The sequence below is a fragment of the Homo sapiens genome, chromosome 7 (assembly GCF_000001405.40).
Source record: "Homo sapiens chromosome 7, GRCh38.p14 Primary Assembly".
Classification (NCBI taxonomy): domain Eukaryota; kingdom Metazoa; phylum Chordata; class Mammalia; order Primates; family Hominidae; genus Homo; species Homo sapiens.
Genome location: NC_000007.14, coordinates 7,353,748 through 7,367,527, shown reverse-complemented (window position 1 = coordinate 7,367,527; position 13,780 = coordinate 7,353,748). Strand labels below are relative to the sequence as shown.

The 13,780-nt window shown below is 38.1% G+C and overlaps 1 protein-coding gene and 1 long non-coding RNA gene across 8 annotated transcripts in view; one reads left to right on the top strand and one right to left on the bottom strand.

Moving 5' to 3' along the window:
• Nucleotides 1-13,780, bottom strand: part of LOC107986764 (uncharacterized) — a 106,009-nt gene that overhangs the window by 9,885 nt on the left and 82,344 nt on the right. The gene's annotated exons all lie outside the window — the stretch shown is intronic.
• COL28A1 (collagen type XXVIII alpha 1 chain) overlaps nucleotides 1-13,780 on the top strand; it is a 205,677-nt gene that overhangs the window by 176,343 nt on the left and 15,554 nt on the right. For 5 of the 7 annotated variants that reach the window (XM_011515358.4, NM_001037763.3, XM_011515359.2 and 2 more), the window contains 2 exons: nucleotides 7,000-7,138; nucleotides 8,723-9,653. In XM_011515358.4, the coding sequence (XP_011513660.1) occupies nucleotides 7,000-7,138; nucleotides 8,723-8,895 (312 nt within the window). In that variant the 3' untranslated portion in view covers nucleotides 8,896-9,653. Of the gene's footprint in view, nucleotides 1-6,999; nucleotides 7,139-8,722; nucleotides 9,654-10,507; nucleotides 11,326-13,780 lie in introns of those variants that run through there. The other 2 variants (XM_011515360.3, XR_926936.4) reach the window with 2 other exon arrangements.

The window sequence follows — 13,780 nt, the reverse complement described above, 5'->3', positions numbered from 1 at the left end:
GGAACTTTGACCCAGATAGTGGGACCTTGCAATGAACTTGACCTTCTCGGATAGTGCCTCTTGTCTCTAGGCTTTCTCATTCTGGCTCTTTTTAAAGAAGCACCAATGCAAAACTGAATTTTTAAACAATTATTTCCTTATTGATATTTAGTTTGAACAAACGTGCATTTCTATTCACATTTAAATCTTTGACATGCAGTCATGCATCGTTTAATGACAGGGACACTTTCTGAGAAATGTTTCGCTAGCCAATTTTGTTTTTGTGTGAACATCATAGAGTGTACTCACACAAATCTAGATAGTATAGCCTACTACACACCTGGGCTAGATAGTTTAGCCTATTGCTTCTAGGCTACAAACCTGCACAGCATATCACTGTACTACTGTAGGGAACTGTAACACAGTGGTAAGTATCTATATATATAAGCATATCTAACCATAGAAAAGGGTAAAAATACAGTATTATAATCGGATGGGACCACTGTCATGTATGTGTGTGGTTGACCAAAATGTCATTATGCAGCACTTGACTGCACAGACATGCACGCGCGCACACACACACACATAGTATATACATACACACATACAAGAACATATTTATGCCTCTGTGCATGCACACCCACCTTTAATAAGTATAATTACAGTATCCAAACATTTAAAATAAAATGAATCTGTTACAACCTTCCTATTCTCAGATCCTTCCTGAGCCTACCCTAGGCAATACTGCAAAGCTAGTAAACAATGATCTCAGAAGTACCATTTCCCTTTTGTTGTCTCTTCCTTTTCACTGTTGTCCCTTCTGTCACTCCCTTAAGACACCTAACTCTGTCCTTCCTTCCTCTTCTTCTTTCTACCAAAATATGTTCTTAGCGAAAAATAAAATTAGCATTCTCTCACCGTGATCGTGAAAAACATTCAAATTCTTCATAAAACCCTGCGTAACAACTAATTATTAGTATCACTACAAAAGGTTGCTGTACAAGTATTATTTATTGCTTCTAATAGACTTGTTACCCTCAGAATATAACATGCACCTGTGTTATGGAAGAGGAAAAAAACAAAAATAATAAACATATTCCTAACTGATCTAGAAGAAATATTCTAGACCTGGAAGTCAGGAAACCTGGCTTGTGGTCTCATTGCTGAAGCTAAGGACTATTCTCTTGACTCCAAAGTCTGTAGTTTTTCGATTTTATTATTTCTGAAATTGGGATGCATCTATTTAATGTGTGTGGTCTTTTTTCAAAACTATTTTAAAATTTATGGTATATCTCATGATGAATGACATCTTAGAAATGAAATCTCATAGCTGCCTGATGTTAGGGGAATCACCTATTTTCCTGAGGTCTCAGTTTTCTCATCTGTAAAATTAAAGAATGTTACTAGAATGTTCTTCCTGTTCTAAAAGTATATGATTACAGCTGTCAAAAATGTTTACTGGGTAAAGCCAGAATGCAGGCTATTTTACTGCACTAATGTATGAGAGGTTTAAACAGAACAAAATCCTGCATTACACCCTTTTTGAAAGCCACAGTGAATCCAGAGAGGTGCAGCCCAAACTCAAGGTGTTCCTAAAGGCCCCAGTAACTTTAAAATGCAAATAAGTAACCTTCAGTTTAAGTATTTGAGTGCAGAGAGACCTGACAAAGAAGTGTGTTTGATTCTTGGGGAGAATCAATCAAGAAGGACTCCTGAGAAGCCAGACAATTTGAAGATGCTGGCTGTGGAGCCCAGTGGCAGTAGAATCCCCAGAGCCAAATTGGAGAAATTTTGACCCACACTCCTGGGAATATGCTAAGTCTTAACACAAACACTAATGCAGATGATCATTAGCATTCATCCAGAGCAGACATGTGTTCAGATTTGAAGACTTTGTAATATATGCAAAATTCTGGGTAATAAATTCAAGGAAAATGTTTGGAAATCAGAAAGCAAAAGACCTTTTGGATGTGGCACCTGGTCAGCAATCCTTCTTAGCTCATGCATACATGTTCTTGGGATACTGCACTGAGTCTGTTTTCCTCCCCTTAAAGATCAGCTCAAAGGCTGAAAGAGAATGGTGATAACACGTCTGCTTGTCCAGCTACACGGAGCAGCCCTGGACTCCAGGTGTCGGCTCTCAGGTGTCCCTAGACAACTCATTTGTGCCTTTTACTATGGTGTCCCTGCTTAGAGCTGGAGCTAGCCTTCTTTTCCAAGGCAGGCCAGTGTGGCTGGAGTAGAAATGTGCAGAGTTGACAGGCAAGCTTGTGTTTTCAGATTTAAGATTTATTAACAAGAATAGAAACAAACATTTGACTGCGTACTCACCACCCAGAAGTAACCAATGTTTCCATTTGTTCATTCACTCTTGCTTCAGATAAAGTCCTAGCTTTTTCCCTCCAGAGCTCTTTTTCCTCCTCTCTCCAGAGGCAATCACTATCGTGAATTGGGTGTGTATTCTGCCAGTCGTTTGTGTTGGTTAAATCCAACTTTTAGAGTTGGAAGTCATGTTAGGGCCTAATTTTTTTTATTTGAAAAATGATGACGTTAAAGTCTAGAGGAATTAAATAATGCAAATTTATCTCTTTCTCTTTCGCTCTTTGCATATCCTTATTAAGTTCAACCTGAAGACGAGTGTAACAGAAAGATTAACCCATTGTGAATTTATTTAATGGATACTTTTTGCCTATTCTATGCTATGGAAAAAAAGAGGTAGAGAAAGAAGAAAAGAAAGAAAAAAGATAATTTCTTTTATCAGGGAAGTGGTATTTATATATAGGAAACAAGAAATTATACAAGATAGTGGAGGGGAGGAAATTTTTTTTTCCTCTACCCATCTTAGGGTTATTAGCTAGGTAAGGCCTTGTAAATTAGACTGACAAAAGACAGATTAACAATAGAAAAGCACACAGAAGTTATTAACATGTAGCATATACACATAGGAGCATGGAGATGAGTAGCTCAAAGGGGTGGTTAGAACTTGGTCTTATATAGCATCTTAACGAAAGAACAATAGAGCTTAGAGGAGTGACGACAATGGGAAAGGACTTTCTACAGCAGCAGATGGTGGGAAGGTAAACATATGGGTGAATTAATGGAAGATAAGGATTAGTGAATAGTTTTTTATGTAGAGTCCTCTGGTGTATCTCTGGGCTAAGTAAGGGTCTAGACTCCTCTCGAGTCATTACCCTGATTTTCTGAGGAGGGATTCCTTTACGAATGTATGTCCTGCATTTAGACAAATGAGCTTATATCTGATTCTCAATTGCCTTCAGTTCAAAATAATCAATGTGCCAAAGTGGCATATTTTGGGAGGCATATTCTGTTACTCTTCAATAGGATAGGACTAAAGGTTAAATTCTACACAATCAGCACTGAGTATAGAAGAGTCAGAAGGTACTGTGCATCATCTAGAAGGGGAGAATCAGTACTGACTGGGTTATTGGAGAAGGTTTTGCGGATGGAGACCAACTTTTCCTAGGCTGTGGTGGAAGGGTTGATATTGAGAGCCTGAGGCAGAATAGAGAGGAAGAAGGAATGAAAGGTCCTGACCAGATATTCTGGGAGTAGTGGAAGACAAGGTTATAAAAATGTGGAGGAGGCTGGGCGTGGTGGCTCACCTCTGTAATATCAGCTACTTGGGAGGCTGAGGCATGAGAACTGCTTGAATCTGGGAGGTGGAGGTTGCAGTGAGCCGAGATCGTGCTGGGCAACAGAGCGAGACTCTGTCTTCAAAATAATAATAATAAATGTTATAGAGTCATGGTGAAATATATAGAATGATCATAATATAGTATATTTTTTAAAATAGCATAGAGCATAGAAAACTGAACATACAGTATTTTTTTGTAACAACAACAACAACAAAAAAATGGATATGCACCTAGAAAAAAGACTAGGGAAAAATATACCTGAATGCCAACAATGACTATCTTTAGGAGGTAGAATTACTTCTGATTTCTGTTTTCTTTTTTTTGATATCCACATTTTCTAAAATTCCTTTCAGTTAACATGCTTGCTTTTGTGGTAAGGAAATTATAAAAATAGCAAGCCGTAATAATTATGCATTTGTTGAAATAATCTGACATCTCACTGAGCCAGAAAATTGATGAAATTATTTTCATTTATTAAAGTTAATTTTGCTTGTCTTGGAATCTGTGGAGTAATGTTAACAGATATCAAAATTTCCAAATGATTATGTGATTGAGAATGGAAACACACATTCCTAAGCTTAGAAGAGGTAAAATATAACTTTTGAGGACTCAGGACTTGAACAAGGTAAAGATTTAAAGGCTGAGTTAATTCTTTGAAGAAAACTGTGCTGCTTAGCCCGCCTCTTCAATGGAACAGTCTCACCTTCTAGACCGTATATCTGAAGTGTAGACTAATGTCAGTTGGCTTTTATGTTTGATAAACTTACTCCTCAAACTTTTATTTGTTGCTTAAAACCAAATACATGCAGGCAAAAAAAACCAGTACTTTTTTTCCTGAAGGTTTGTCACTAGCTTACCAATAACTTTTGGAAAGTTTCTTAATCATTTATAGCTTTGTATTCCCCCCAGTAGAAAATAAGGGACTCGGTGCTGAGCTCAGGAGGCCAATGTGGAGGATCACTTGAAGCCAGGAGTTTGAGACCAGCCTGGGCAACACAGCGAGACCCTATCTCTATAAAAAATAAAAAAGAAAATAAGGGACCAAGAAAGTTTTCCTCTAGCTTTAAATTCTCTAGTATAATGATTATTTTTAAAAGTTCACATTCAAATTGCTGTATCTGCATACAGGATCATTCTGAAAGAAAGAGGAACCTCAAGTAATCCACAGTTTTGTCTCCACTTGTACCAAAAGTTGTGTTTAGGGGACAGTGAAAATTTCCTATTGTATTTGAATTGTGTGCCCTTTATATAGGGCTAATGACCAATCCAAATGGAAAAATCTTTGCTCTAAGTCACCTGATAGTAATTTAATCACTGTAAAAAATACGCATACATGAGTAATAGTACTAATTACTTTTTCCCTCTTGTGTGTGTATGTATGCATGCACACACAAAAAAAATCAAAAGCAATAGAACAGCTTAGCTGGCAGACGGCAGTTAATGATGACAGCATACCAGGATCCCTGGGTAAAAAAGCATAAAAAACTATCTCAGTCACAGATTTGACTATTTAAATAAATAAAAATGCAAACAAACAAATAAGAGAAACTCTTGCAAGGATAAATAACCAAGTGTCAGGACTCAGGTGAATGACTGATTCAATTGCATACAGCTGGAATCCAAGGAAAAATTTGCAAAAGAATATAATTATTCCCATAAAAGATTTGTCTAGCTCCTGGTAATTGTCAAGAATGACTGACATGATTTTTTATTATTATACTTTAAGTTCTGGGATACATGTGCAGAATGTGCAGGTTTGTTACATAGGTATACACGTGCCATGGTGGTTTGCTGCACCCATCAACCTGTAATCTACTTTAGGTATTTCTCCTAATGCTTTCCTTGCCCTAGGCCCCCACCCACAGACAGGCCCCATTGTGTGATGTTCCCCTCCCTGTGTCCATGTGTTTTCATTGTTCAACTCCCACTTACGAATGAGAACATGTGGTGTTTGGTTTTCTGTTCCTGTGTTAGTTTGCTAAGAATGATGGTTTCTAGCTTCACCCATGTCCCTGCAAAGGACATGAACTCATGTTTTTATGGCTGCATAGTATTCCATGGTGTATATGTGCCACATTTTCTTTATCCAGTCTATCATTGATGAGCATTTGGGTTGGTTCAAGTCTTTGCTATTGTGAGTAGTGCTGCAATAAACATATGTGTGCGTGTGTCTTTATACTAGAACTTAAACAAATTTACAAGAAAAAACTCTATCAAAAAATGGGCGAAGGATATGAACAGATACTTCTCAAAAGAAGACATTTATGCAGCCAACAAACATGAAAAAACGCTTATCATCACTGGTCATTAGAGAAATGTAGATCAAAACCACAATGAGATACCATTTCATGCCAGTTAGAATGGCGATCATTAAAAAGTCAGGAAACAATAGATGCTGGAGAGGATGTGGAGAAATAGGAACACTTTTAAACAGTTGGTGGGAGTGTAAATTAGTTCAACCATTGTGGAAGACAGTGTGGCAATTCCTCAAGGATCTAGAACCAGAAATACCATTTGACCCAGCAGTCCCATTACTGGGTCTATACCCAAGGATTATAAATCATTCTACTATAAAGGCACTATTTTTAAAAAAAAAGTAAAATGCCTTTCTTGTTTCGTTATATATCATAAATTTGGATGAAACTTGGAAATTTTAGTCCAGAAAATTTGCTTTTGAAACAAAAATCCTTTGTTCTTTAGATATCAAACATTTCTTAGAGCATCTTATATGTTAAGCATCCTACAGCATTTGGTATTAGCTGGGGTCTGATAATAGAGCAGGCAAAGGTGTCTGCAGCTGAGATTTGGGTAAGCAATCAAAAAGTGGCCACTATTGTTTTTATTTCAGCTGTATTATTGTCTTCTGCTACCCTAATTCCCAATCTCAAAATTGACTGAGTTCATGGTAAATATTTTGGAATATATTGTTAAGACGTCTAGTGTTAGGAAATGGAGAAAGGCCATAAAAATGTTAAAGAAATGAGTGGTTATTTTCTCATAGCAGTGGCTAAGAATGAAAATAAACTCCTCTCAACTTTGCATCTTTCACATCTGCTTTGGATGTCCCAGCACCCAAAAATCTGTGCCTGGAGGTGGGCTGCGTGTGTGTGTGTATGTGTGTATATGTGTGTGTACACAGAAATACACCCACACCAAGTGGTGGGAAAATCCACAACTTGGGTATTGAGGGATGCATGACACAGAGGAGGGGCATTATTTCCTGAGTTTTATTTGAAATAGTTAGTATCAGAGAGCTAGGGAAACACAGCATGGCTGAACTAGTCTTTATATGTTCCCAAAAGCAAACTAGTATTTTTTTTACTTGATATTATCAGAAACACAAAATGTGAATATTTTTGTGTAGTTGAGTGTCACCAGAGACCAGGATGAAGATGATAAGGCTCCAGAGCCAACGTGGGCTGATGATCTGCCTGCCACTACCTCATCTGAGGCCACCACCACCCCCAGGCCACTGCTCAGCACCCCTGTGGATGGGGCAGAGGGTAGGTAAACCAGAACTCCAAGTCCCATTTTGATTCTACAGTCTTGTGCACAGATTTGGTGCACAAAGGAAAGAGAGATCTGCCAATCTGCTACTGTATCTACAATGTGAGGAAGGCACAGGGTTACCCAGAGAGAAAATGTTATGATTCTAAACAAGCAGGACAAAATATAGTTTTCACTGGACTATATGTAGAATTTGAAAACTGTGGAGTAAATTTGGTCTATGAAGAATTTCAAAGTTCTTATTTATTATTTTAATTTGAATGCCTTTAGAGGGGATTGCATTCTCCTGTTTACCGTAGTCCGTACTGCTCCCTATTGTCTTACATGTGCCCTTCACACATGTAGGCATTTGAATTTGTGATCCTTTTATTGCACAGGAAAGAGAAACAAGCGAAAATCTAGATTCTGATTCATTAACATATTTTCTATGGAGTTAATATCTATAGAAAATGTATTATTATGTACATATTTTCTGCAGAACATGAGAGACAATTTTTGTGCTCAAAAGTTTAGATTATCTTTAAAATGAATTACACAATATATATTATTTGGTTTTGTTTTTAAGGGCAGAGGTAGTAGAAATCTATGGCTCATTTCCATTTGGTCTAGGGAGTCTTCATAGTAGAGGTAGATTTAGAGGTAAGTTTGAGAAAATAAATGAACCGAGCCATACCCCAAATCTGGGAAAATGTTTAAGGAAGAGAAAGTGCTGGTTTAGCTATTGCAAAATAAAGTTTATCACATATAAGTCCCAGATAGCAATTATCTATTTGGGGATTTTTTGTGTGTTTTTTGGCTTCTCCCACCTTGGCATCACTTCCTGAAGTAGGAAATACTAATCAAGGCACTCCAGAGTACCAAACAATAAAAAGGGATTTAGCAAATGAGGAGTTCCATAATTAAAGGAACCTTATTAGGACAATGTGGCTTTATTGTTACAGCTGTCCTATGCTTTCTTATAGTAGGTGTATTTCTACGATAAGACAATATGACGTTAGAAAGTTGTATCACGTTTTTAGTGTCCTGCAAGAGCTGCTCTTTTAAAACTATAATTGTAATATAAAGACAGTCCTTCATTTTACTTTTTTTTTTTTTGTAACTTAAAGAGTTTTCCTTTGATAGTGGGCAATTGCATGTGATCATAGTGGTGCCTTCTGTGAACAGAATGGGAGGAAATGTGTACAGAAAGTGGAAATATTTTTTATTCCAAATATTAATTTGATTGTAAATCAAATCCAGTGTAAATGAAAGAAGTCCTGTCTTTCTAATCCCCACAAAAGTATTAGCCAATGAAGTCTCACTTAGGCTTTCAGGGAAATAAACATTTTTAATGTGGTTTCATGAGGATCAAAAACTTTCATGTTTTCAAAAGAATTAATATCTAGTAGCAGAGTTTCAGGTGGTGAGGGAAATATTTTGGGTTTTAGGGAATCCTTCTTTCACTTACTTAGAACCATATTTTCTTGGTTTGTTAGTGTGCATGAAGAATAAAGTTTATTTATATAACTTTATACAGTTTTTATTTTTCATGTCTTCAGTATAAGAAAAATCCGTGACACATTTTCCTTTTCTCACTCTAGATCCTAGATGTTTGGAAGCCTTGAAGCCTGGAAACTGTGGTGAATATGTGGTTCGATGGTATTATGACAAACAGGTCAACTCTTGTGCCCGATTTTGGTTCAGTGGCTGTAATGGCTCAGGAAATAGATTCAACAGTGAAAAGGAATGTCAAGAAACCTGCATTCAAGGATGAGCAAGTAAATTGGCCTGTCTCTATCAAAAGCATAGAACTCCCTAATTTCCACATATTCACCCAATACAAATACAGCACTATATTTGAGTGTATACTGAGTATTTACAACTTATACATGTAATTGAATTCTCACTACAGCCCTAGGATGTACATATTATTAACCACTTATATAGGTAAGAAAGCTGAGGCTCTGAGAAGTTTAGTAACTTGTCAACTGTCACCCAACTAAAAAGTTTCAGAGCTGAGGATTTAGACTTAGAGCTGTGTAACTTCAATACACAGACTCTATCTACTTCACAACCTGCAATGTGATTCTGATTCCTTTAATTCCTGTTGTATGTACTATGTCAGCTCAAACCCCTACCCCTGTCCCTGCCCATACCTCCACCCACTCACCTCCCTAACCTCCTTATGTCCCTCGCAGTAGCAAGATGTAGGTGATAGGAAGGACTTCGGTGTGAGAATTAGAAATGATGTAAATGTTTACGCAGGAGTGCTGGGATAGGAGTCGGGATGGTGAGGGTAGTTAGATTTTTGCCTCACTTGCCCTGAAAGTGGTAATAGGGAGAAACCAATCTGAATTACAATTACTTAAATGTATCACAGACTGTCACTTTGTATTCCTCCAACATGTTTGGTAACAAGTGTTTAATGTATGTTAAAACAAAGAAGGTTTTTATACCCTTCCATTAAAATATGTCAGTGGGCCCTTCCATTTTATGGAGTGGAATGGGAAGGCCCTTGACAGCCAGGAACCACTTGAAGTTGGCATCCACTCTTGAACAGTGTGTATTAAAGACAGGATTCACACTGAAAAGTGAGCCACCAAATTGAAATGCGAGTAATGGAGAGTAACGGAGAATTGACTCTGTCATTTTATAATACTTTTGCAAGATCCTGTCTGGGAAGAGCATTAGTTCTGAGCTGAGTTCAGACAGCACTTGCATATTTCTTTCTTTTTTTTTTTTTTCCCCCAGACAGAATCTTGCTCTGTCATCCAGGCTGGAGTGCAGTGGGAAAATCTCAGCTCACTGCAACCTCCCGCTCCTGGGTTCAAGCGATTCTCCTGCCTCAACCTCCTGCGTAGCTGGGATTACAAGCATGCGCCACCATGCCCAGCTAATTTTTGTATTCTTAGCAGAGACAAAGTTTCACCATGTTGGTCAGGCTGGTCACGAACTCTTGACCTCGTGATCCACCTGCCTTGGCCTCCCAAAGTGCTGAGATTACAGGCTTGAGCCACCCCGCCCGGCCACATATTTTATCTTACAAAACACTTTCTCAGCTGGGCGCCGTGGCTCACGCCTATAATCCCAGCACTTTGGAAGGCCGAGGTGGGTGGATCACCTGAGGTCAGGAGTTTGAGAACAGCCTGGCCAACATGGTAAAACCCCGTCTCTACTAAGAATACAAAAATTAGCCAGGCCTGGTGGTGTGCACCTGTAATCCCAGTTACCCAGGTGGCTGAGGCAGGAGAATCGCTTGACCCTGGGAAGCAGAGGTTGCAGAGAGCCAAGATTGCCCCACTGCACTCCAGCCTGGGTGACACAGCAAGACTCTGTCTCAAAACAAAAACAAAAACAAAAAACAAAATACTTTCTCCTTCTATCAGGTCTACCCTCATTCAATTCAACAGTGCAAAAAAGAGCACTCACGGAAGAAGGAGATGGAAGAATAGCCATCTTGGCAGAAATAATGATATGTATAATTTTTTTATTTAATTAAAATTGTATTATGTAATATTTGATACTACAAAAGATAATGCAACATGTTTGTCAATTTTTTTTATTATACTTTAAGTTTTAGGGTACATGTGCACAAAGTACAGGTTTGTTACATATGTATTCATGTGCCATGTTGGTGTGCTGCACCCATTAACTCGTCATTTAACATTAGGTATATTTCCTAATGCTATCCCTCCCCACTCCCCCGCCACCCCACAACAGGCCCTGGTGTGTGATGTTCCCCTTCCTGTGTCCATGTGTTCTCATTGTTCAACTCCCACCTATGAGTGAGAACATGCGGTGTTTGGTTTTTTGTCCTTGTGACAGTTTGCTGAGAATGATGGTTTCCAGCTTCATCCATGTCCCTACAAAGGACATGAACTCATCATTTTTTATGGCTGCATAGTATTCTGTGGTGTATATGTAACATGCTTGTCAATTTAAAAACATGATAAGATGAACACCAGTGAACACATCACCTAGAGAATGAAGCAAACATCAAAAATTCTATTGCAGCTTCCCGTGTGGCCCTCCGCCATCCCAGCTCTCTATTCCATGCCAGGGATATCCCATTTTGAACTTCGTATTTACCATGTCAATGTGCTGTTGACATTTATAGGTAATTTTACATGTAAAACTCTATATATCTCTATGTGTTGCCAAACAATAAATATTTAGCCTTGCTTATTTTACAGTTTTACAAAAATGGTGTCAATGGTGTCATACGCTAGTCTTCTGCAACTAACTATTTTCATTCAATGGTATAACTAATCCATATATTTTATGATATATAAATGTACTCTAGATAATTTATTATTTAGCTTTTTTGAGCTTTAAAAAACTTCCATCATAATTTGTAATTCTCTACAACTCACTAGATTATTGCATTATAATTCATACATGTTCATTTACTTCCACGGTTGTATATTTGTGTGAATATACCACAATATGCCTCATCTATGATCAGTTAAGTTCTCCTATTTCATTTTCCTCAGTATTCTGCCACTGTTGCTGTGAATGCTCTTATTCATGTCTCTTGGTACACACACATCAGTGTTTTTCTGGGGTATATTCCCCAAAAGTAGGATTTCTGGGTTGCAGAGTATGTAAACATTCAAAAGTAGTATATCATACCCATTTGTTTCCTGAAGTGTCTGAGCCAATTTATTATAAATTCCCACCAGTTGCATATAAAAGTTCCCATTGCTTGATATTCTTATCAACATTTAGTATTATCAGATTTCTTTATTTTGCTAGTATAGGTATAAAATGGTATCTTATTTTATTTTATATTTGTTTTTGAGATGGAGTGTTGCTCTGTTGCCCAGAGTGTTGCAGTGGTACAATCTCAGCTCACTGCAACCTCCACCTCCCGGACTCAAGTGATCCTCTCACCTCAGCCTCCTGAGTAGCTAGGACTACAGCCGCCTGCCACCATGCCAAGCTAACTTTTGTATTTTTAGTAGGAGTGGGGTTTTGCCATGTTGTCCGGGCTGGTCTTGAACTCCTGGCCTCAAGTGATCCATGAGCCTCAGCCTCCCAAAGTGTTTGGGGTGTGAGCCACTGTGTCTGGCCAGTATATTATTTTTATTTACGTTTCTCTGGTGACACCTTACCATGTTTATTTACCCTCTGTGCTGCTGCTTCTGTGAAATACCTGTTTATAATTAGGAAAGATTTTCTTTATTGGATTGTTTGTCTTTTCCTTATTGAGTTCTTGGAATTCCTATGTATCTGAAATATAATTCTTTGCTAATTATTTGTGTTGCTAATATCTTCATAGTTTGTCTTTTTACTTTTTTCTTATTTTAACAAACTCAATTTTAATGCAGTCCAATTTACCCATCTTTCCTTTTGTGGCTGGCACTTTTGTTCCTTCTTTATTCCGCTCAGCCTGTCAGCATCTCAGTCATCTTTCTTGGGTGAGAAATGTCCTTAGGACAAAAGTGACTCTGAGTGCTGGCTCCACCTCACTAGATAACCATCTTCGTGCCAGGTAACTTCTTAGGAGCCTATTAGCTCTTTGGTGTCAGAGGCATCCAAACCAGAGTGACTCCACCTTGAATAACGGCTGCATAAAGCCAAACCTGCTGGGTTACATTCCCAGGAAGTCAGGTACTCTTGGTCACAAGATATTTATGGTTAAGGGAACAAGTTAATGGTGCTAATTAATTAAGTAAGACTCAGAAGTTATGGAAGTGTCCCAATATTTTAAGAACAAAAAGCATTCTTAGTTTTAGAGTTTCACATTAGAAATAATAATATACTCATAGATTCTTGCTGAAATCAATAGTTGCAGAAGAGAATAACAATACTAATAGCCTGTCACAAGCTGATCACAAGCCTTTATAATAAAGCACATTATTTTTAGCTCTAATACCCTATATAAGCAAGTATTAAGTTTTAGGTAGGGGCGTTCCTCCTGTTGCTTTTTGAGGACACCCTACTCTGTAATAAGAGTAGCCTCTAATAAACTATCTTAATTTCACTATACTTTGATACTTGCCCTGAATTCTTTACTGCACACAATCTGTGAACCTGCTCCTGTGGTCTGGGTTGACACCCCTTTTCCAGTAACATTGGTAATTTCTAGGTGCTTAAAATAAATTTTTTTTGGCCAGGTGCGGTGGCTCATGCCTGTAATCGCAGCACTTTGGGAGGTTAAGGTGGGCAGATCGCTTGAGCCCAGAAGTTTCAGACCAGCCTGGGCAACATGGGAAAACTCCATCTCTACAAAAAATTTAAAAAATTAGCCATACATCATGATGGGTGCCTGTAGTCCCAGCTACTTGGGAGCCTGAGGTGGGAGGATCACTTGAGTCCAAGAGGTCAAGGTTGCAGTCAGAGTGACACCAAGACCCCATCTCAAAAAAAAAAAATTTTTTTTTCTCCTTTATCTTCTTTAGTTGTCCTCCGCATGAAAATGGGTATGAGTTATAGAAATAGCCTTTACCATATTTTTTGTTGTAGGATGGAGAGCTATGGGTATTTTCTCATTTCCTGGATGCCCACAGTGCATTAAAACATAGGTATCAGTCACTATATTGTTGTTGGAAAGTAGAAGGACCCTTTAGAGTATCTAGGCTGCTATTTTGACGGGAGAAAAAGTACTTACATTTCTTGTTCAAGCTTTTCACAATTTTGCCCACATAGAAAACTGA